This window comes from Homo sapiens, chromosome 10 (assembly GCF_000001405.40).
Source record: "Homo sapiens chromosome 10, GRCh38.p14 Primary Assembly".
NCBI lineage: Eukaryota > Metazoa > Chordata > Mammalia > Primates > Hominidae > Homo > Homo sapiens.
The window spans coordinates 19,198,003-19,223,803 of NC_000010.11; the positions used below are offsets into that span (position 1 = coordinate 19,198,003).

General features: G+C 36.9%; 1 protein-coding gene across 10 annotated transcripts in view; it reads left to right on the forward strand.

The window, feature by feature from the left end:
- MALRD1 (MAM and LDL receptor class A domain containing 1) overlaps window positions 1–25,801 on the forward strand; it is a 687,552-nt gene that overhangs the window by 151,076 nt on the left and 510,675 nt on the right. For all 10 annotated transcript variants that reach the window (XM_011519453.3, XM_011519455.3, XM_011519454.2 and 7 more), the window contains 4 exons: window positions 5,726–5,878; window positions 6,306–6,411; window positions 6,896–7,263; window positions 11,266–11,678. In XM_011519453.3, coding sequence (XP_011517755.1) covers window positions 5,726–5,878; window positions 6,306–6,411; window positions 6,896–7,263; window positions 11,266–11,678 — 1,040 coding nt within the window. The remainder of the gene's footprint in view (window positions 1–5,725; window positions 5,879–6,305; window positions 6,412–6,895; window positions 7,264–11,265; window positions 11,679–25,801) is intronic.

Consider the following 25,801-nt stretch of genomic DNA (forward strand, 5'->3'; position numbering starts at 1 on the left):
ATGAATTTCCCACACTAGAGTCTAAGCTTTCTTTTTTTCTTTTTTTGAGACGGAGTCTCTGTCGCCCAGGCTGTAGTGCAGTGGCATGATCTCGGCTCACTGCAAAGTGGTAGTATACATAGATATTTAATATAGCGTCAAGTATTGTGAAGGATCTAAAATTTTACCTGACTGATAAGGAAACAAGTTAGCCTGCCATTGTTTCATGGATGCTGACACAAGAGGTGAGATTCCTGTGTCACAGACAGATGACTTTATTACTAATGGTATAGCAAATGTTGTGAGCAACATATTTGCATTGGTTCTTCTTGCTCTCCATGTCCCCTGAGAAAGGGACCAACAGAGAGGTGCCCAGGTAGATAGATGTACACATGAAGCAGGCTTGTATCACCGCTAAAGAGGCCTAAACTTATGGAACTAAAATCTTTTATGATGGGCTGCAAATAAACTTGTCTGACCTTTTCTTTAGAAGGAGACATTATCTTTATTCTACAGGATAATAACTTGCCTTCTGTTGTAGAGGGAGTCACTATCTGTCTTTCATAGCTCTACTATTTAAATATCCTTGAAAGGATAGCCTGGAACAAAGGGGCAGTTAACGGCCCTGCTCATAACCTGTGCAGAAGCATAAGAGACCCATGAGGAATTGTCTACCAATAATAACTCTACATTGTCTAGATCTCAGGAGACCCTTTAAGCCATGGGTAGAATAGTGTAATTAATTATTCTTATTCCAAAGACAATAATGATTTCATTATTTATGTATTGGCATTTTTAAAAGAGTTAATTATTTCTATTCATTTATATAGACAGCTTTAAAATAATTTTATGGTACTTTTGCAAACATTCCCTTACTATTGTATATTTTATTTTAAATAATTAATGACTATTAACTATTGATGAAGTCTAGAGTTTAATTGCTTCAACCTTATGATAACTTCAAACACATAACCATTAGAATGCATGGAAAAGCCTGAAACTCAAAAGAATTACAACGTTACAGAACCTGTTCCAAAATAGAGAATAGAGTATTCATGCATTTGGAGTTTATAGCAAATGCTTAATCAAATAAAGGACAACCTCTATGAACCTAAGCCAACATACTAGAATACTCAATTAACTTTTGTCCTCCTTCATGCAACTTTCAGCAGGGGCACAAAATCTAGAGGAAAAAAAAATCTTTAAAGGAACAAGAAGAGTCAATGTGGTGGACTTAACAGCGATTATTATTGTATGGTGTAACACCTATTTCCGGAATGTGTCCCGTGGTCATACATGTTTTGATTTTGTATCATCTTCCATTAAAAACACATAGCATAATGCTTGGTATAGAATAGCTGTTTAAAAATTGTTACAATTATTAATGATTTAACTTAATAGAAGCTGTATAATTTTTAAGAGGATAGCCTTTGCCATCAGGTTTGGGTTAGAATCATGACAATAATAATGAGCACTGAAAAATTACATGTCACTCCTCTTTCAACCTCATATTTCTCATATCTAAAATAAGGACACGGGCCAGGTGCAGTGGCTCACGCCTGTAATCTCAGTACTTTGAGAGGCCCAGGCGGGTGGATCACTTGAGGTCAGGAGTTCAAAACCAGCCTGGCCAACATGGCAAAACCCCATCTCTACTAAAAATACAAACAGTAGCTGGGTATGGTGGCAGGCACCTGTAATCCCAGCTACTCAGTAAGCTGAGGCATGAGAATTGCTTGAACCCGGGAGGTGGAGGTTGCAGTGAGCTGAGATCGCACCACTGCACTCCATTCTGGGGTATAGAGCAAGACTCTGTCTCCAAATAAATAAATAAATAAAATAAAATAAAATAAAATAAAATAGGGACATGGCCAAGCACTGTGGCTTACCACTTGTAATCCCTGAACTTTGGGAGGCCAAGGCAGGAGGACCCTTGAGGCCTCAGACCAGCGTGGGCAACATGAGGAGACCCCATCTCAACAAAATTTTTTAAAAAAATTATCCAGTTGTGGTGGCATGCACCTGTGTTCCCAGCTACTCAGGAGGCTGAGTCGGAGAACGGCCTGAGCCTGGGAGGTTGAGGCTGCCATGAGCTGAGGTCATGTCACTGCACTCCAGCCTGGGTGACTGAGTGAGACTGTCTCAAAAAAGAATAATAAAATAAAACAGGGACAATAATATTTTCTTTGATATTTCATGAGGAATAAATAAGATGATGTATGTATTAACAGATGTTTTTCACTCTACATTTATGTTCTTTCTGGTTCATGTCTTTCTGTAAGTCACAATGGCAGCTCTAGGTTTTAACTTTTTAAAATTACTACTCACATGCTCAGCCTTTGTTATGTTTTTGTTTTATTTTGTTTTTCTCACTCAACATGTGCATCTTGCCTCTGTGGCTAATACCAGAAGGAGTTCAACTGTTCAAAGTTCAACCACATGATGCGTTAGGAGGTATTTCCTCCTATGAATGTTTAAATCCTTATGTGAGGCCCAAATTACCAGCTCAGACTTCAGACTTCTTTTTTGTACACTTCATGTTTATTCCTTACCAACAAACCTCGGTAGAATCATACTGAACCATCAGAGAAGTTCTAAGACAGTGAATCTGAAATAAGAAAGAATCTGATTCTGGGCTTTTTTTTTCTCCCTCCCTGCTTGAGGTTTTTTTTTTTTTTTTTTTTTTTTTTGGCTTCTACATAAATTCGTCTTCTTTTATCTCAATGAAGAGCTCAAAAAAATGACAGGGATGGACCTGTGAGCCAACCCAGCAAGTATCCCCTGACGCCTTTTCTCCAGGGGCAACTGCTGTGATGATATTTACATAATTAATAGAAGCCATTTAGGTAATTTTTCTCACAGCAACTAAAAGCTGCTGTAGAATCATTAGCTTTTTAATCTATAGCCATAGTACAGACAGGCATAATTTTTATTAAATAGAAATTTTGTGTCAATGGGCATCCTGTTATGCCTGTAACAGCCCCTAGCACAAAGCTTGCTATACACTAAACCCAGAGTAAATGCTAATTGCAATTATTATTGCAAAAATGAGGATTCCGTTGATGATAACTGAGAAAGTCAATAATGCTTCAGAAACAGTGAAAAATCCTAGGATCTCAATTTTTAAAACATATCCAGGCTATTTCTCCTTTTCTAACTTAGAAATTTTATATATGTATACATGTGTGTTGACATATACACATATATATTTATATATTCAATTAATGGCTAACTAGAAGACTAATTTAATTGATTATTACATTTATGATCAATCAAGGGGAGTTTTTAAATCTATAGGAATAAAGAATACTAGAAAAGCACATCTGAATTTTAACAGCATAATTATCTGTTGAAAATCATTATCTTTGAAGAGTCTTATCTAAGAGGACTACAAAGTCACTGCAATGATTTCTTAAATTTTACTACCATTCGAATATTCACTTATTTCTATAGCAATATCTCCCTGGATAGCAGATAATAAGGTTCCCCTTCCAGGTAGCTATGGGAGATAGATATTATACATTAATAATAACCTGCTTTCTCCCCGTATTTACATAACAATAACTCCTAGATCCAGTTCCCTGAATTGTCTGAAATAAGAATCAAAAGCATTTGCTTCCCAGGTATTGAAATGACATCTAGACACTTTGAAAACCCTGGACTCTATGTATATTTATGTGTTGTTTGCATATTATGTACTTATGGAGATAGCTTTTAATCCTGTGAAGACAAATATCCTTTGCATTTTATTTCTAACTTGTATTATTTACTGTTATTATCTTTAATTTTTGAGCAGTATATAATTTTGCTTTACCGAAGATTTCTAAACTTTACTTGATAAATCTTTTTTTTGAGACAGAGTCTCACTCTGTCACCCAGGCTGGAGTGCAGTGGCAGGATCTCAGCTCACTGCAACCTCAGCCTCCCAGATTCAAGCGATTCTCCTGCCTCAGCCTCCCGAGTAGCTGGGACTGCAGATGCATGCCACCCTGCCCAGCTAATTTTTGTATTTTTAGTAGAGACGGGGTTTCACCATATTGGCCAGGATGGTCTCGATCTCTTGACCTTGTGATCAGACTGCCTAGGCCTCCCAAAGTATTGGAATTACAGGTGTGAGCCACGGCGCCCGACTGAGAAAACTTTACTCTAAATATAGTAAAGCTTCTTTCATTTCGCTTGTTTCTAATTGTCTTTATATACTGAAGTATAGCTATCTCTTGCATATTAAGTGTAGATGTGACATTTTTAAAGTATTTATTTTTAGATATATAGATGTATTTATACATTCCCTCTGATTCTGATAAGATTCAGAACTACTCTGCTGGCCAAATTTGGGCCAGGAAATTTGATAGAAAGCAAATATGGTTTTGAAATTAGATATTTCATAGAAAGTATAAAAAACTTATAAGTTGTTTGTAATATTATTACCTCACATTCTTCTCCCTGTAGAAGAGGCATTTTCAGGATTCAAAATGATATTTTTATCATTGGGTTAAAATGCTCTTACAATTAGGTTAAATTCCCTATAATTTTATTATTACATTAAAATGCCCTTATAATTTTAAATTTTGTAATCTCATTTAGTGATTTAGTTTACACTTTTTTCCCTAAACTCATTGTTTACTTCCTAATTTATTTTACAAGGGTGTGTCTATGCGTTTTATTGCTATATTCCTTGATAAAAATAGCCAATGGCTAAGAATTTCAGTGTAATCATCATCAGTGAAAATGAACTTCATTTTGCGTTGGTCTGTGTAGTAACAGCTGAATGTTCACACCAAGCAAATTCAGATTATACCTTTTTGCTTTACTTTTTTTTTCAATCTAATGACAGTTAACACTTATTGTCAACAGTTGCGGAAAGAATCTTAGCCTAGGAGTCACAATATTTGGATTACGTTCCCACCCTACAACTTCCTAAATATTTGACCTTGGTTACATTAATAACTTCTCTCAACCTCTCTGTCTTCTTTTGTAAAATAACAACAACAATAATACCTTCCTATATGGCTGTTTGTGAAAGTTAGATATATATATTCCACACAGGGTCTATTACATAAAGTGTTCTATAACTATCAGCTGTATTATTACATTACTAACATTATGATTTCCCTTTCTTTTTCTTTCTCTTCTTCCTTTTTTCCTCTTCATCTTCCAAAATATCTCTGTGGAATTTAACTGATTTATCTGCGTATTTATCTGAAAAATAGTTCAAATTATTTTCTGCACCAATTAGGCAATGCATATAACACTTTGTGAAATATTAAGCTCTATGAAAATCTGGGGTACACATTGTATTAAATATAGTGTATCTGGGATTCTTCACATATTAAATTGTTTAGAAGTAGTAGCTTTTCATGATTTAACATAAAATACCCTGCAGGAACAATGATGCCTCCCAGCTGATGTAACAGTAGCAGGGAAACTAACATGAGTATCAGAATGAATTAGGCATACCTTGGCAATTCTATAAGCAATCAGGCTGAATGATGCTGTTTCTCAGAATATTCGGAAAAAAATTGTATTTCTTAAATTGAGAATTCTGCCTTCTCGATCTCCAGTATGGAAAGCATAGCTCCATTTTTGCAAATGAGAAAGGATCTTTTTTATTTTCTGAAATGTGTCCCTCATTGCCCTTCATGTGCATACAGAAGCATAATAAGGTGAATTCTATTTGAGCTCTGCCTTTTCAAAGTGTGGGAGCAGTTTGGAGAGCCAACATAAGAGCCACATTTTTGTTCTTCAGTTTCCAAGTGTGACTTTGAAGCAAACAGCTGTGATTGGTTTGAAGCAATTAGTGGTGACCATTTTGACTGGATACGGAGCTCTCAGAGTGAACTTTCTGCTGATTTTGAGCACCAGGCTCCACCTCGGGATCATAGTCTCAACGCATCTCAAGGTAAGAAGCAAACAGGGACTCTACAACCACTGCTATTTACTGTTTAGTTAGACTTCAGAAGAGAAAGGAAAGCTAGTACGGTTCTGTGATAACTACAACAAACAGTCAGATAGTTGAATATTGTCAATTACAGTTATGCTGTCTGCATGGACTGATTCCTTTATGGGTGGTACAGATAGCATATAGATATATTTTTGGCTGAACTAGCTGAAATTACCAATGGTCTTTGGTATCATTTAGCATGAGATGTAGATAGTGGTTCAATATTTATCAGAACAAATTTGACTAAGAGTCACTGATTGATTATTGTATAATTTTAATTTCAGTTAGACAATGATCTTGCTCAGTGTAGGGTTAAGAGACAGATGTCTCATTTTAGAATCCAATAGGTTAATGAAGCGTTTTTTTTTTTTTTTTATCTCAACAGGGCATTTTATGTTCATTCTGAAGAAAAGCAGCAGCTTGTGGCAAGTTGCTAAGCTTCAGAGCCCAACTTTCAGCCAGACAGGACCTGGATGCATACTTTCCTTCTGGTAAATATTAAACAAATATTTAAACAATATTAAACAGTTCACCCTGGTGGTGAAGTGTTTGCAGGCATACCTCTGCACTTATTCATTTCTGTGGTTTACTGCTGGTTTTACTCTAAAAATAGTATTGCATTAAATTCATATGATTTTAATTTTACCTAGGAGCGTGTTCTCAGTATATGTTGTTTTCTTTCTTAAGATGAAAGGGGCTCTTTCCCCCCAACCATGGATTATAATTTAATTAAGATTTCTTCCTCTTGTTATGTACTGAGCTCCTTGAGACAAGTTCCCAGTGTTGTGAGAACCACAGAGTGTGTGCCTCAGTAGATAAGCTCTTGCAAATGGACAGCCACAGTTATTGCGGGAAAGAAAAGCGTCTTATGATAACTCATTAAAATTGACTGTTGACTGAGTAGAAAAATCTAAAGGTTAAATATGTAGTCTATTCTATAAATCACTTCCATTTCTTACGTTTACTCTTTTTTAGGTTCTATAACTATGGCCTGTCAGTGGGAGCAGCTGAGCTGCAGCTACATATGGAAAATTCTCATGACTCAACAGTGATTTGGAGAGTATTATACAATCAGGGCAAACAATGGTTGGAGGCAACCATTCAGCTAGGGCGCCTTTCGCAGCCCTTCCATTTGTCACTAGATAAAGTCAGTCTGGGCATTTATGATGGGGTCTCAGCTATTGATGACATCCGATTTGAAAATTGTACTCTCCCTCTTCCTGCTGAGAGCTGTGAAGGGCTGGATCATTTCTGGTGTCGCCACACCAGGGCTTGCATAGAAAAGCTTCGGTTATGTGATCTGGTGGATGACTGTGGTGATCGTACTGATGAAGTCAACTGTGGTAAGTTCTTTTTGGTTGGGGGATTCTCTTTCTCATTTTGAAAGTGTTGACCTTGATGAATTCACTTTTGTCTTGCCAATCAAACCGATAACAGTAAGCATAGCTCCAAAGCTGATGAATGTTATGTGTGGTTAATTAGTCAAGCCATCAGTATTTTTAAGAGGATTTATTAGATACTAGATACTAGATACCAAATACTAGAGATACAATGATAAATACAACTACAGAGTCCCTGCCCTTGCGGAGCTTACAATCTTACTGAAAGACAAATATCTAAATATTTAATAAAGAAAAATGAAATGGTAGCTTTGATAGGAGCGATGAAGAAGAGTGCTGTGACCTTATATAATAGTGGCATTGGACTTTCTAGACATTGGGACTTAGATCAGATCTAAAAAAATCACAAGTCAAACCATGTATCTAAAAACCCTGAGATGTGGCTGCAAGGCAGATGGAAAATAGCCAGTGTGGCTGGAGCAAGGAATGAAGGGGAAAGAGGGCCCAAAATATAATAAGGATGAAGGTGTGGGGAAGGCCAGATTCGCAGGCCTTTGTAGTACATAGTAGTACAATTTGAACCTAGCTCCAGAATTGCCCTCTGCACTTAGTGGTACAGTGCGGAAAATAAGTTAGAAGTTAATAGGATTTTTTTTTTTTTTGAGTTACAAAACCCTGTCAAGAAAAGAAAAAGTTTGCATCTTTCCTTGGACTCAGATTCCTCATCCAGAAATAGCAATGATTTTTAAAATTGAAGATAGTTGAATATTATATTTATTTTATAAATTATTTATATTTTATATATGAAAATTATTTTATAAATTATGCAATTTATTAAATTTATTTAATAAGTAAATTATTTCTTTTATGTATTAAATTTATGTTCATGAAATACAGATGCTAATTACAGACCAAAGTAGAAATGTAAAATGCTTACTACATCATAGAAAACATTAAGAAATTTCCATATACATCATCGTAGAGAGTTTTGCCTATGTGTAATCTTTGGTACACATATTATCAAAGGCATATCAAAGTCAGGCCTATTAAACTCAGAATTACCATGCATCTCATGAAATTTACACACCAATATTTGAGTGGGTATAATTAAAATGGTGATTTTGACAATGACTATCCTATGAAGTGTAACTTTTCCTAAGGCCAATTCATTTTTGCAAATTTCGAAAGCCTTTTCATCTTTTCAAGCTCTCTGAATCCCACTCATTAAAAAATGTCAATGTGCTGCTAAAAATAAGCAAATTGCCCCTCAGACTTCCCTGTGTTCACTTAGTAGGATGTGATAATGCGAGTACAACTATAGTATCAAAATACTTCTTGCGATTATGGATTAGTGAAAGAATGTCGGTTTCTCACACGGCTTTCCATCAAGGCATATTACTTCATGACACAGTGTACATTACAGATCCACAAATCCATGTTGGATTTCCTGAAATATATTGAGAGATGCGGTCTTTTATGGAAAGGTGGAGCTAGGCGTATTCCCTTTGGAAATGAAGTTTGAGTGTGCAGTCAGCACCAAGACAGACAATAGAAAAACGTGTTTGCTTTAGCGTCAGTTTTATGTCAGAAACGCAGCAACTTGCCATTCACCTTCTGCCCTACAGCCAAAGACTGACATCTGGAGGGTACCCTGTGTCCCCCCAAGTTCACATCACAGCTGGTCTTGATTAGTCACAAGTGAGGAAATATCAAAAGAAAGCTCATCTCCCACTTGACATTTACTCACTTGGTTCCCTTCATTAGGTCTAAGCTCCTCTTCTGTGATTTTCCAAGACAGATGATTTATTCTCGCCTGGCTGCATTTATTCACATACCCTTTTATTTATTGTTTCAGAGTATTTGTTCACTTTTGGCATCAAGTGTCATTACTAACATGAATAAAGGACAGTTGACATTTATTTAAAAAAAACTAACATGTAAATGAAGCTAAAATGTAGAACTACTTGTTAATTCTAAAATCTGTCCCCTTCCTCCAAAGACTGTCAAATGCCCATTTTATACCATTTATTCTACAGTGAATATCATTTGAAAAATTGACACGTTCCTATATTACCCTAGAAATTTAGATAGAGTTTTCAATTATTGACTATGGTAGGCTTCCCCCTTACCTGGGGGCTTCAGAGATCACCAGTGGATTCCTGAAACTGAGAATAGTACCTAGTCCTATATATACTATGTTTTTTCCTATACATACATACCTATGATAAAGATTTTTGTTTGTTTGTTTGATTTTTTTAGAAAGAGTCTCCCTCTGTTGCTTAGGCTGGAGTACAGTGGCAGGATCTCTGCTCACTGCAACCTCTGCCTCCCGGGTTCAAGCGATTCTCCTGCCTCAGCCTCCTGAGTAGCTGAGATTGCAGGCGCCCGCCACCACTCCCGGATAATTTGTTTGTATTTTTAGTAGAGATGGGTTTCAGCATGTTGGTTGGGCTGGTCTTGAACTCCTGACCTCGAGTGATCTGCCCGCCTTGGCCTCCCAAAGTGCTAGGATTACAGGAGTGAGCCACTGCGCCCAGCCTGATAATGTTTAATTTATAAATTAGGCATTGTAAGAGATTAACAACTACTAACAAAATAGAACAATTATAACAATATGCCTGCACCGTAACTCTTGCACTTTGGTGCCATTATTAAGTAAAATAAGGGTGACACTTAAACACAGGCACTGTGATCCTGTTACAATCGATCTGATAACTGAGATAGCTACTATTTGTGATGGTACAAGATTTCATCAGGCTGCTCAGAATGAACTGCAACTCAAAATGTATGAATTGCTTATTTCAGGAATTCTCCATTTCACATTTTTTTTTTTTTTTACCACAGTTGGTTGTGGGTTAGTGTAACTGCTAAAAGCAAAACATCAGATAAGGCGAGACTGCTGTAAGACTCTTCCTAAGTCTGAATTGGTCTAGGGACTGAAGCAAGTTGGAAGTTGCAGCTCAAAGGAGCTACAATCCAGTGAGAAGAAAAGACCCATACTGATGAATCACAGCAAAAAAAGTGGCAAGGCACATACCTAACATTAGGGTAAACAGAGGTGGAGGAAGTGGTGGGGTGTTTAGAATATGTGGGGAAGATGGTGCAGGCTATGGGGAAGAATAGTAGGGATGAGGCAGTCATTTTAATTTGGGAGAAGTGGAGTTTGAAAGAGGAGTTTTTATTTAGGTATAGATTCTATGAGCATACATGAAAGAATCTGGATTCGAGAAGGAAGTGGTAATACTGCCATTGAAGGATTGTTACCTTGGCACTGATGCGTAGGGACTCTAGGATCTGGGACGGGATGGAACCAAAGACAAGAGATTTTGGGAATGAGGTCAGGAAAACATCTACATCAGGGTGCTTGTTAAAAATGTGGATTTCTGGGCTTCACCCTATATCTAATAAGCTAGTATCTGTTTCAGTGTTTTGCTATGAAGTCAGCAATTTTACCGTGAGCCCCAGGTGATTCTTAACACATGATTGTTCCCAGCCCTGCCTGTTAGAATCACCAAGGGAGCTTCGAAAAAATCCTGATGCGTGGCTTTACCACTAGGAGCAATTAAATCAACACCTCTGGAGATGAATTCTGGGCTTCAGTGTTTGTTTGTTTTTTAATGTTCCCTGGTGATTGGAACATTCAGTTGAGGTTGAAATCTACTGAGCCAGAAGTTTCTCACAGTGAGCCAGGCATGGGGTCTTGATCATGTGCCTGGAGTTATGGTCATAGAAATGGAGAAGAGATGTGCATAAAAAATATTTGGAAAAAAGTGTCCAAAGCAATTCCATCTTTAGTTCATAAAATATTATTAATTGATATATCATTTAGAAACAAAAACTCTTTTTTTAAAAAAAACACTTCAGTGTTGGATTTTAAAAATAAAATGGCTTACCTTGGCATGAGCAAAGTATCAACTAGCATTCTTTAAATATTAATAAATAGAATGTGGTTGCATGTATTTTTGTCCCTAATTATCTTTTGCTTTTATTTCATGTGAATTTCAGCACCTGAGCTGCAGTGTAACTTTGAAACTGGAATCTGTAACTGGGAACAAGATGCAAAAGATGACTTTGATTGGACCAGGAGCCAGGGTCCAACTCCAACACTTAACACAGGGCCAATGAAAGATAACACTCTGGGCACAGCTAAAGGACACTATCTCTACATAGAATCTTCAGAGCCACAGGCTTTTCAAGACAGTGCTGCCTTACTCAGCCCAATCCTTAATGCCACTGATACAAAAGGCTGCACCTTCCGCTTCTATTACCACATGTTTGGAAAGCGCATTTATAGGTTGGCAATCTACCAACGAATCTGGAGTGACTCAAGGGGACAGCTGCTGTGGCAGATATTTGGGAATCAAGGCAACAGATGGATTAGGAAACACCTCAACATTTCCAGCAGGCAGCCCTTTCAGGTATGGATAATAGATTTTATAATGTACATTTGAAATGCATCTGAATGTCTAAGGAATATGAAAGATCGCTGTATTCTCTAATTAAAAGCAAGTGGAATTTGATCAAAGTTACATTGAGACACATTTATCATTTATTTGAGGGTGTATCAAAGCTCTTTACATTGTTTCCTCCTTGACTACCCCCAATGATGTAAGATTAGAATTTCTGAAGATGAACATGTGGCCATTGGAAACAGCTGCAGGTCCTTCCAATTTCAAGTAATTGCTTTACTGAAATGAACAACCTGGAAGTGGAGGGAAGAGTTTTGCACAATCTCTGATATTTTGCAAAGAGCACAGACACTGAAATCTGTGATTTTGCTTATTTCATTTTATTTTTATTATTTTATAGGTAAGTAACAGAAATCCAGGCTTTATTCAACAATCAGTTCCTCTGAGGAAGAGCTAGAGTTTGAATATAGTTCTCCTTACTCCTGGGGGAATATTCTTTACTTCAGATTTCACCTGCTGTTTTCTAAAAGTCAGTCTTATTCTAGCAAGCTCAAATGCGTATGTGGCTGTTAACAGTTTTGTAAAGGAATTTTATATATTATCTATCTGATTCTCTCAGCAATTTCCTGATTTTGGTAAGCCAGAAGTCCTTTCAGCCAATTTTGTAGATTCAAAGAAAAAAGCTTGGAGTGCTGACTGTTTATCCCTGGCCAAACAGCTTATGGGCAGCAGAACTGGGATTTGGACCAGAACTCACAGTTTGTGATTAATGAACATTTATTTACTTTCCAGCATATCATAGAGCCTATAACATGCAGGGGGCTTGAATATTTGTTCTTTCATCCTGTAGTCAAATTAATCTACACATAATATACTGGAAAAAAACTTCTTACCTGTCCCTGGCTAAACTTTTTTTGCATGTACTCAACTTCTTTAGTTACCCAAATTTAAAGCACTATATCTATCTAAATGTCTAAATCTAGTTAACAGTTTTGTAACCAAAAACTTAGCTCCAGGCCACCTTTTGAAATCTTCTAAGTCATAGATGTAGATTGTACAGTGAAGAACACATTGGAATGGGAGATTTGTCCAGATAGATATAAACCGAAAGCATGAGAACGAATCCCCCATCTATAGTGTGGCATCGTTCAGCTCTCCCACAGCGTAAGGTACATGTAAGGATGAGAATGAATCCCCCATTTATAGTGTGGCATCGTTTGGCTCCGCCACAGTGTAAAGTATGTGTAAGCGTGAGAATGAATCCCCCATCAGTGTGGCATCGTTCTGGTCTCCCACAAACATAAGATACATGTAATCATATGGAATGAAATGGAAAGGAAGTCCTTTGACTTTTATGTAATAATGGCTTATCCACTTCAAATTAATTCTTAACGTCTCATTGGGTCAATTATGATTTGCCTCAAGCTAGTATGTAGTGGATAAGCCCTTCTTATGATATTTACTCAAGGATTGGTTTCCAGGAGAAAATCAACTTTGCAGGGAAGCAGCTTCATAGCCAGATCGACGTGGGACTAACCAAGGAACACTTTCGTCATGAACCTCAAACATGAAACTTGAGGTTTGAGACCCATGTTGGGTTACAAATGCAGTGTTCTGATTGATTTTTATCTAAGGCTCCTTTTAGTCTAAAAAAATAATAATAATAAGATTCAGGCCCGAAAAGATGAAATCAGAGATCCTCCATGCTGTGTGGATTTGTCATTCTAGTGAGTAAAAAATGGGGCCTGAAAGGGGGCTCACACCTGTAATCCCAAGACTGGGAGGCCGAGGCGGGAGGATTACTTGAGGTCAGGAGATCAAGACCAGCCTGGGCAACAAGGCAAAACCTCATCTCTACTAAAAATAGAAAACAATTAGCCAGGCACGCACCTGTAATCCCAGCTACTTGGGAGGGTGAGGCAGGATAATCGCTTGAACCCAGGAGGCTGAAGTTGCAGTGAGCCGAGATGCGCTACTGTACTCCAGCCTGGGCAACAAAGCATGACTCCTCACAAAAAAAAAAAAAAAAAAAAAAAAAAAAAAAAAAGGTTGGGCAGGGTGAGATGCTGATTTAAGGAACAGGATATTTTTTTCTCCATTAAATGATGGATGGACATAGTTTCTGTTCTACTGAGAAACAGCAGCAATAACAACCAGCATTTTAATTAACTGTGATATGGTAGATGGAATTACCAGCAGATAGGAGGTACTCATTCTGTGTTTGCATAAAGAAAAATGCAGGGATTTTTCACGATCACTCATGTAAAATGAAAGAAATAGGATAGGAACAAATTGTACATGTAAGTATACAGGAACCAGTTTACTTGTTAATGTCAGTTGAAATAATCAGCCAATGCTTTCATGTGTGCCTTGGTCAGTAAAGGCTCAGGAAATCATTACACATGAAACTTCAGTTCAATCTTTTGATTTTTATTACAAGCTTTATTTTGTATAACATATAATAAACTAAAAATATTGAAAGTTTAGAAACCATCAGCACACAACCGAGGTGATGGAAATATACTTCACCTCCAGTTTCCTGATGCCTCTTTATAATACATTTCTTTGGCCCCTCATTCCTGGCCCTTAACAACCACCGAACTGCTTTCTGTCACTGGACGGTAATTTATACAGTCAAAAAATGTATATAAATAAAATTTTACACTATGCACTTTTTTGTCTGACATTTTATGTTTTTTTCTCTGCATGTTTTACCTCTAGAGTCTGCCTTGTTTCATTTAGTATAATTATTTTGAGATTCATTCATGTTATAGTATGTATCCATAATTAATTCGGATAAAGCAAGTTAATTCATTAATGTATTGATTGATATTTAGACTGTTTCTAGTTTGGGCTATTATGAATACATGTGCTATGAACATTTGTGTTGATATCATTATATGAACACCTACTTTTATCTCTCTTGGGTAAATACCCAGGAGTGCAATGGCTGAGTCTTACGGCAGAAGTATGTTTAACTTTTTAAGGGACTCTTAAACTGTTTTTCAAAGTTTACACTATTTTTTTATTCCCATCAGCAGTGTATGAGAGTTTCAGCTTCTCCACATCCAAGCCAGTGCTTGGCTATTATCAGTCACGCTAATCTTAGCTATTTAAAAATAGATAGTGGCGTCTCGTTTTGGTTTTAATTTGCATTGCCCTAAGCATTAATTATGTTGAGCGTATGTGCTTATTTACCAAACAAATGTCTACTTTGAAATGTCTGTTCCAGTCTTTCACCCAAGTTTTAAATGGGGTTGTTTGTTTTTCATTATTAAATTTTGAGCTTTTAAAATATATTTTTGATGCAAGCCTTTTATCAGATATATGAATTGCAAATATTTTCTCCCAGCCTGCAGCTTGCCTTTTCAGTCTCTTAATAGATTCTTTTGAAGAGCAGATTCTTTTTTTTAAATTTGATGAGTTCTTCTTATCAATATATTATTTTATAAATCATGCTGTGGGGTCATATCAAAGAAAGCTTTGCCTTACTCAGAGTTCCAAATGTTTTCACATCTTCCCTCTCCTCTCCTTTGGGAACTGAGATTACACATAAATTCAGTTACTTGAAATTTACTGTCTACTATTGCTCTGTTCATGTTTTTAAAAATTTATTGTCTCTCTATATTTTATTTTGAGAGGTGTCTATCTTTTCTTCTTTAATGACTAATGTGCTATCAGCCTACCATGTAGCTGGGACTACAGCCGCATGCTACTATGCCCCGCTAATTTTTGTATTTTTAGTAGAGATGGGGTTTCACCATATTGGTCAGGCTGGTCTTGAACTCCTGACTTCGTGATCCACCTGCCTCGGCCTCGCAAAATGCTGAGATTACAGGCGTGAGCCACTGCGCCCAGCCTCCTTTAGTGTATCTTGCATGTCTGTATTTTAGAACATATAGAATACTGTTTCAATAAGCATTTTAATGTTCTTAACTGATAACTCTGGCATCTTGATTTACTCTGGATCGGTTCTGACTGAGTGATTTTTCTCCTTATTATGAGCCACGTTCTTCTGTCTTTTGTTGTTACTGTTGCGTCTCTGCTAAATTGTGTCTGGATGTCAGATATGGTGACTTTTATCTTATTGAGTGCTGGAAGTATATATAAATATTCTTGATCTTTGTGTTGGTATGTATTTAAGTTTAGTTGGAAAGAGTTTGACTCTTTTTGGTCTTGCTTTAAAAATTCATTAGGTGGGATCAGACCAGTTCTCATTTTAGAGCTAATCACTCCCAATTAGTGAGGCAAGATCCTTCTGGGTATCCCTGGGAATCTTGAGGTGTTTCTGGTTTGGCTGATAAAATAAGCACTATTACTGGACCTTGGTGAGCATGTGTACTGTTACTTTTCATCTTATCTGGGTGTTCTTTCCCCAACCATAGGTACTTTTCTCTATGCCTGTCCTAACAATTACTTAGCTATGTACTTTAGGGGGACCCTTTGCAGAGCTCTGGAGTTCTCTTTCTGTGCAGCTCCTTCTTCTCGGAAACCTTGTCCTGAGAGCTCATGTCAACATGGTTTCTGTGGACTCTCAGCTCTTTCCCCTCAGCTCAGGGAGAACAATGGGCTCCTCTTGGGCTCTTCTCCTGGAGTACTGGGCTGGAAAACTTTCTCCAGGCATAAATTAGGGCAGTTGATAGGCTCACCTTGTTTGAGACTGACTTTACAGCGTCTTGCAAACTTTTGTGGCATACATTTTGGCCATTTTTTTGGTTGTTTCAGGAGGGAGAGAAAGTCTAGTTCTTGTTACTCCATCATGGTCATTGCAGAAGTCAACCTAACTGATATTTATCAATACAGTCTGTTGCTACACATTGAACTTGCTTAAGATAATTTTCAGATGGCACAGAACTTTCTGTCCATTGAATGAGACTCTCTGCTTATTTTGCAAGTGCTCATTTGTATGGAGAAACTTCAGAAAGTTTGTGGAAAATGAAGTTAAAGGGTAAACATTGAAAATGTGATCTTCGGTTTTCATCTCTAAAGAACTGATGATCCTGGGAACTTAACAATGTCAATGCAGTCTCTTATACATTATTAACTTAAGAAAAATGGGTGCCCTTTCCACACTTGTTGAGATTGGGAAACAAAAAGAAGTCAGAAGGAGCCAAATCAGAGCTGTAAGGTGGATGCCTGACAATTTCCCATTGAGACTTTCACAAAATTGCCTTTGCTTGATGAGAGGAATGAGCAGAAACATTGTGGTGTTAGAGGACTCTCTGCTAAAGCTTTCCCAGGTATTTTGCACTAAAACTTTGGCTAACTTATTCAAAACACTCTCATGATATGCAGATATTATTGTTCTTTGACCTTCCACAAAGTCAACAAGCAAAATGCCTGGAATGTCCCCAAAAAACTGTTGCCATGACCTTTGCTCTTGAGTGATCCCCTTTTGCTTTGACTGGACCACTTCCACCTTTTGGTAGCCATTGCTTTGATTGTGTTTTGCCCTCAGGATCATACTGGGAAAGCCATGTTTTATCTTCTGTTACAATTCTTCAAAGAAATCCTTCAGGATCTTGACCCTAGTTCTTTAAAATTTCCATTGAGAGCTCTCCTCTTGTCTGCAGCTGATCTGGGCACAACACTTCTGGCACCCATGCAGTGGAAAGTTGGTTCAACTTTAATTTTTTAGTCAGAACTGTGTAAGCTGAACCAATTAAGATGTCTATGATGTTGGCTATTGTTTGTGCTGTTGATTATCAGTCCTCTTCAATTAGGGCACAAACAAGGTTAATTTTTTTCCTTGCAAATTGATATGGATGGTCTGTCCCTGTGGACGTCATCTTCCACATCATCTCGTTTCTTCTTTAAAAAAGCTGTCCACTTGTGAACTACTGATTTCTTTGGTGCATTGTCCCCCCAAACTTCTTGTAAAGCATCAGTGATTTCACCGTTCTTTCACCCAAGCTTCATCATAATCTAATGTTTGTTCTTGCTTCAATTTTAGCAGAATTTACATTGCTCTGCTAGGGGCTCTTTTCAAACTAATGTCTACTCCTTCTTACTGTCTCAAACTAGATCCTGTGCAGACGTGCTATAATAAATTAGTATAAATAATTTAGTATAAATAATAATTAGTATAAACAAATAATTTAGTATAATTAGTATAAATAAATAGTATATTTATTTATATAAATAATTAGTATAAATACATAATTTAGTATAAATAATAAAACTCATAAATTAGTATGACTTTATTTTGCTGCCAAAATTGAAACCTTTGCATAGTTTTTTTTCATAATATACATTTTCCATGAACTTTTTAAGGCCTCTCATGTATCCACAGGTAGAGTGCCTTACCTATTCTGACTTCAGTCAATTATTCAAGACCTTTCCTTGTCAGTGATACATTAGAAAGGTAGAGTATTGAAAAATAAGAGTAGCTTCTGCTGATTAAGTAATACTATATCTTTTTCTACTTCTTTCTTTCTTTCTTTCTTTCTTTTTTTTTTTTTTTTGAGACAGCGTCTTTCTCTGTCACCCAGGCTGGAGTGCAGTGGTGTGATCTCAGCTCACTGCAACCTCTGCCTCCCAAGGTCAAGTGATTCTCCTGCCTCAGCCTCCTGAGTAGCTGGGACTATAGGTGCCTGCCACCACACCCAGCTAATTTTTGTATTTTTAGTGGAGACAAGGTTTCACCATATTGGCCAGGCTGGTCTTGAACTCCTGACCTTGTGATCTGCCTGACTCGGCCTCCCAAAGCGCTGGGATTAAGGCATGAGCCACTATACCTAGCTTTCTACTTCTTTCTTATTATTTTCCTCCTCTCTCATTCCCATATTCTCTCCTTTCTCCTACTTTCCTCCCCACTCCCTGTTTCCTTCCTTTCATCTTTCCTATTTTCAAGACTTAATATTTCTTGAACCTCAGATGTTATCATAGTGTGTTATTTGTTTAATTTTCACATAACAATAATAGTTTAAATACAAATAATATTTATTTTCATCCCCATGTTATCAGTATAACAGTAAAGATGTGGAGAGGCCAGCTGGGTGCGGTGGCTCACGCCTGTAATCCCAGCACTTTGGGAGGCCGAGGTGGGTGGATCACGAGGTCAGGAGATCGAGACCATCCTGGCTAACACGGTGAAACCCCATCTCTACTAAAAAATGGAAAAAATTAGCTGGGCGTGGTGGTGCGTGCCTGTAGTCCCAGCTACTCGGGAGGCTGAGGCAGGAGAATAGTGTGAACCCGGGAGGCAGAGCTTGCAGTGAGCCAAGATCACGCCACTGCACTCCAGCCTGGGTGACAGAGCGAGACTCCGTCTCAAAAAAAAAAAAATAAAAATAAAATAAAATTAAAAAAAATGATGTGGAGAGGCCAAACCAATGGCTCTTATATACACGTTCTTTCTTCTAAATGATTTCACCTTAGTTTTGGTCTGCATCTCCAACCATAGCTAGTTGCAGTAGGACCCTCTGTCTGGCCTTGCTGCTCTCATTTTTGGACCTCCTCACTGAAATCAAATTGATCTTTCTAAAATGCAAACCTGGTCTTAGTATTTTATTACTTAAAACCCATTGGTGGCTTTCCATGATTTATGGAATAAAGTCAAAATTCCTGTTTTTGCCCATGTTTCTGTGTGCCTCTCATCCCTACATTTACTGATTCCTGTGTGCCATAAATTGCCAGTAGTCCAGAGTTCATTCTCTTTTTGTACTTGGGAAGACTTCTGCATCCTGCCACTTTTCCCCTGAAACATGCTTGGAAAATACCTACTCATTTTTTTCAGATTCAGGTTAGTTTTTTACTTCACTTTCTTTTCCTGAAGCTTATACTCACTGCTCCATATGCCTTTGGGGATTAGCTGCTCATTCCTTTGTGCCCTTTGTAGATATACATTTATCATGCAGTCTTTTTTTTTTTTTTTTTTTGAGACAGAGTCTCACTCTGTCACCAGGCTGGAGTGCAGTGGTGCGATCTCAGCTCACTGCAACCTTCACCTCCCAGGTTCAACTGATTCTCTTGCCTCAGCCTCCCAAGTAACTACAGGCGTGCACCATCGTGCCCAGCTAATTTTTGTATTTTTAGTAGAGACGGATTTCGCTATGTTGGCCAGGATGGTCTCGATCTCTTGACCTTGTGATCTGCCCACGTTGGCCTCCCAAAGTGCTGGGATTACAGGCATGAGCCACCGCTCCCAATCAATCATGCGGTCTTTATACTTACTTGTTTACTTGCCTGTGAGATCACTGAATGCAGGGACTATTTCCTTGTTGCTCTAGCACCTACACCAGTACCTGGTATCCAGAAGCTGCATGCTAAATGTTTGTTGAGTGGCTGTTTGACTGAATGATTGTACTCCTAATTAGTAGATAGAAAGCCATGAACTTCCCAGTTCATCATTCTTTGTGCTCAATTCTGGTTTCTTTATTGTGTTCAAAAGAGTTCCTTAGTGACATGAAACTATGGAGCTAGTATGTCGGCTCATTTAAGCAATGATTGGTTTATGTATATAAGAGGCTTCAATAATTATATATTTTTATTTCAGTTTCAATAAATGATCAATTTATTAATTTTCTCTGTTTTGGCTTATTGTTCACATTTAGTATCTAATAAAAGTGTTTTACTTAAAGTTATTCACGCCAATTATGACAGGTGAATATTACTTTGATTTACATTCCAGTAGTAGTTTTGGTGGAACCCTGAATATGCTAAGACGTCACTTTTCTTTTTTCTTATGAACAGGCTACTCTGTTTACATATATTATTAAAATCTTCTTTGAAAATACGAAGAGTGTTATATCTCTTATATTTAGTTCTCTGTGCTTCAGAATTCCTGTGATACTTGCACTTAAGTCCTTCTGAGCAGTTGATGTTAATATTTATGTGGTTAATTTCATGAAACATGGTGGTTTTCATTTCTATCATTAATTTATACAGGAGATAGACTGTTTTCCAGGTGTAAGCTCAGTCATATAATTAGAAAATTTATAAGCAGAAAGGAGTTATTTGGTCTAACCCATTTATTCTACAGGTAGAGAAATTAGAGTCCAGAAACTCTGTCTTCTTTAAAGTCTTACAGGTATTTAAGAAAAAAGAATAGACTTGAGATTTCCGTGTTCTGAACACAGTGATCTTGACACTGTAATGATCTTCATCCATATTATTCACAGAAGTAAATATAATCACATATTAAATAAGAAACAAAAATACTAAGGAGATATTATACTGAAAAATGAAATCATATTATCTTAATTATTTTGATCAGATTCATTATATAGCAGCTTGAAGGCTAATAATTCCAATGATTCTCTGAATAAACCATTTTTCTAATAAGATTACAAGTTTTAGTAATCTAATTATTTTGACTGATGCAAATGTTACCCCGCCAGTCTGAAAAATGTGTTTATTTATATGTCATAAAGAATAATTTATTCCAAAAAGGCTAATTTTCAAAATATATGTATCTTCTGAAACTGTATCTATTTTTTTCCCACGTTTTCTAAATATATTTTAGAGGGCATTTGTAGATTTTCATGGTGCTGAAAAATTAAGGTATAATGGTCTCATGAAGGAGAATAATGTCATTTAGACATTGTAATTTTGGAGGATCACAATACTTTCTGGAATGTGGTTGTTGCAGCACTGGTCACTTATACTAATTATATAAAAACATACTATACTAATGCAATAATATACCATATTAAATTATTAAATGGTAAATTTGTCTTAAATCCTCTAGAATACTGCAAAGAAATAGTTTATATAAGAAAGAGTACCATAGCATATGTGAACACAATATTTCCTATTTTTTTCTTCTTTTTTATTTTTTTGAAGACAAGTTCTCACTCTGTTGCCCAGACTGGAGTTCAGCGCCATGTTCATAGTTCACTGCAACCTCAAACTCCCAAGCTCAAGTGATGCTCTTGATTCAGCCTCCCAAGTAGCTGCGCCTATAGGCGTGCACCACCACACCGGCTAATTTTTAAATTTTTTTATACATATGTTGCCCAAGCTGGTCTCAAATTCTTGAGCTCAAGAGATCTTCTCACCTTGGCCTCCCAGAGTGTTGGGATTACAGGCATGAGCCACCATACTCAGCCAATATTTCTTTTCTAAAAGACATTTTCTAACATACTTCTCATTTTAACTAACATAATATTGAAAGTGTAGATCTGAGAAAGAGATAGTGCCTGCAGATCTGGGATCCTACATGCTAATATTATGGGATGCATTCAGATTTGATCAGCAGATATTCCATTTATTCTAGAACACCACCAGCAGAAGAATGTAATTACATCTATCACTAAAACTTTGTGTCAATACAGACTACTGTATTTGTTATCATAGATGGTCCTTGGATGGCAGCCTTAAACAATTTTAAACCTAGACAGTTGATGTACTTTTTCTTCTTGGATAATTTTCATTGTTTTATCTAATTTGGTTGTAACTAATGTGTTTAATATGGCTTGCTTTATTTTTTAAAAAGTTGTTCAGTATCCTTAGAACTCAGTGCTGATTTCTTTTTCTAGCAGGCCTTTTATATAGGACATCTCACTTTCTCCTGGCTCTCTACTACTAGCATGAGGTCTCTGAAAAATCAAGACAGCAAAATAATTTGTTATAGAATAGCCTATGTAGAGGGACAGGGGAGGAGTCATATTCCAAGAGGGAAAGACCTTTGAGCCAGGCTCAACTTGTAGAGGCTGTTGAATGAAAATGAGAGAGAGAGAATGCACACTTTATTGCACTATTAAAGCAAAATTCTGACAATAACTTCTAAAAATGATTCATACACTGAGCATATTACAGACCTTCCAAAAGTATAATTTCTTACATGAACGTCCAGGTATATAAAGAAAAATAACTATTTCATACCAATATCTTCAGCCGCCTTTATTGTTGGTTCACCACATAGGTTTTTATCAGAATCGCAGAACATTGATTTTTTAAATTAGCTACCATTACAACTAGCTTGAGAAGAACTTTCTTTTTAATAATTCGACCCAGATGCGTTCTAGATACTCCAGTGTTAACGAATCGATGGCTTCATGAGGAGCAGCTGTTGACTCATGCTATCTCTGGACACACTGACAGGAAATGTTTTCTTACACCTGTTTTCCTCCTGCTTTTCCTTGGTAGGACTTAGTTCCTTGGCATAGTTCAGTATCAATGGCAGTCATAGAGAAGTGTTACAAAAACCCAGCTTATTCCAACTTGTGAATTATTTGGCACCCAGGAAACAGGTCTTACAATCTTCAACCCACTTTCTCCTAACATGGCCCCTTTTCTGAAATGTTTATTTATATATGATGTAGGCCTGAGGAAAGGACATGGACTTTCAAATAAAATATTCTCCAGTAGATCTCTCAACTCCAGAGAACCTTCTGACTAAATCTGAAAGAATTCCACTGTGCTCTGATAACATCTTTTAATAATGAAGGAAAAGATATTTTTCCCCCAGGAGGATTTTGTAGTGAAAGAGATGGCATAATTTTTTTAAAAAATGTTGTTTATAATCTAATTTGTTTTTTCATTTGTGGGGTGTGTCTTAAATCCTAAATGGTACATCATTTTTTTAATACTTCTAGTAATAAAATGTTTCTGAAGTTATGTTGTAAATATCGTAGGACTATGTTTAATAATGTTAAGTTGATCCCACTTCCCCTGAAATTATATACATAAATGCTGAAAGTATAAATTACATATACAACTTCATGGAACATTTTTCTTCCAAGTGTGCATTTGCTAGAATTTGCATTGAAAGGTTTTGGAAGGAGCCTGTTGGTATGAATCCTGTGTGAGCAACACTCAGATTTGTTGCATACTGAACAGCATGCTAAATCTCACTTCACAATCTTAGATTTCTCATCTACCATCTTGAGCTGAATTTAAAATGTAACGGCAGTTTATTATGTCACCTGTTCGTCAAACACTGATGCAAAGCTTAGTTTTCAGTGTGAAGAACCCATGACTAGAGAAGGGAAGAAGAAAGGGTCAAGCAGACCTCATTAAAGAGTGTATGGGCAAGAAAACACATCAGATGTCTTGATAGGTTTATTAAAGTCCTGTTAGACTTGTCATGATTTCCAAAACACTAAATGCCATCTAGTATTTTGGACCCTCCAAAATTACAGTAGAATATTATTATGGGTCATCTTAATTGGAAATATACAGGAAAATCCTGATGATTAATGTGGACTAGTGATAGCTCTCACACATTTATATAACCTACGTTGAAAAGAAAGAAGAAAGGCAGGAAGGAAAGAAGGAAAAAGAGCGGAGAGAGAGGAACAAGAAAACACGTGGATTTGTGGAAATGAAATTTTTTAAATTACTAATTTGCAAGAATGGGTAAGAAAAATACCGAGTGTGAACATAAATGCTTTCAATTCAGTTTGTCTCTGAATCCTTCTCAGTCCGTGGCCAGTTTTGAAACTTGGTGTAACTTCCTTCCTTTATTCCTCCCTCCCTTGCTCCCTCCATCCCTTCTTGCCAGCCTCCTTCCCTTCCTCTCTCCTTGAGTTTCCTTCTTGTTCCCTCCCTCCCTCTCTCTTTTCTTCCCTTAGTTCCCCTGGAAGCACATATACCAGCCATTTGAATGCTTTCTGCTCATAGATACTGCCAAGCCCCCTCACCCAGACTGTTGACTAGATTTGGTAGAATTGAATGAGAAACATAGACTTTGTGTCTGGGGCGGCCACCTCTGATGTTGCAGATTTTTGCCGTGATTATGCTCTCCAGCCGAGGGACGCTAGAGAGGTTGAAATTTCAACTGTGGGATTTGCCATTTTGGAATTTGCAGAAATGTACTGGATATGCTAACAGCAGCCTGGCTAGCCTCCACTTCACAAGGAAGTATTTAAATATACACGTGTAATACGAAGAAAATTGCATTAGATCATAAGGGATGAATTATTTTGTAAATAACTATACCATCAAATACCATACCTGATATCAATCATCTTCATCAGACAGTATCTGTGTATGTAAGTAGATAAACAAAAAAGCAGGAGTTTATTTCTCTCTAATGTGTCCTTGACTCTCTAGCAGTGACCTCTGAAATGTCTCTTCTGATCCAGACTTGTTTGAATCATGTGCAACATTTTAGATTTGTCTTTTCTCTGCAAGTTTTTTTTTGTTAAGTACCATAACATATTGAACCAAATAGTTTTGCTTGCTTTATATTGATGACACATGATTTTGGCTTTTATCTTCAGTGGAAAATCAATGTGTCACATGGCGTTCACTAAGAAAAAGGTGTGGGGCCTCTTTGTAATTCTTTGTCAGATGATTGCTGTATCTTGATTTATGCCTTCAAACTTTTTCCCATTCAGCAGAAAATATTGTGTCGCTATCTGTGAGAGCAAAGCGATCTATACCTATTTATGCTCTAAGTGTAGCCTCCTTCCAGAACTGCTTATGGAACATATCAACTCACTATAGATTAGGGACATAATGGATTCTTCTTTCTTAAAAGTGGCATATTGACAATTTTAGTTCATATACAAGCTTTTATATTAACATTAAAACGATATTTCTATGTAAAATAAAATATTGTAGTTGATTATTATTCGAGGGCCTCCCAGAATTTCAAGGTCTGAAAAGAAATTCAATGTTCCTGGTGGTAACAAAATTGCCCCTACTTCCTTGTATCAGGACTGCCATTTGGAACTGCTGGGGAAGCTCTTTTCAGAAATTATTTTCAAAACAGCATTGTTGCCTTTTTCCAAACTGAAATCTGATTGTAAACTTTTGAAAACTAGTTCCTTGGAATGGAATTCAAGGAGTCTTCTAAGCAATTTTTTTTTTTAACTCAAACATACATTCTATCTTGCTTTATTATGTCACTATTTGTGTAGGAAACATATTTCTATTTTTACCATTTTCAATTTATTTACATTTACATTTACATTTGTGTGTATATATATACGCACATACATACACTTTAAGTTCTGGGATACATATGCAGAACTTGCAGTTTTGTGAAATAGGTATACATGTGCTGTCGTGGTTTGCTGCACCCATCAACCCGTCATCCACATTAAGTATTTCTCCTAATGCTATCCCTCCTCTTTCCTTCCTACCCACTGACAGGCCCCAGTGTGTGATGTTCCCCTCCCTGTGTCTATGTGTTCTCATTGTTCAACTCCCACTTATGAGTGAGAACATGTGGTGTTTGG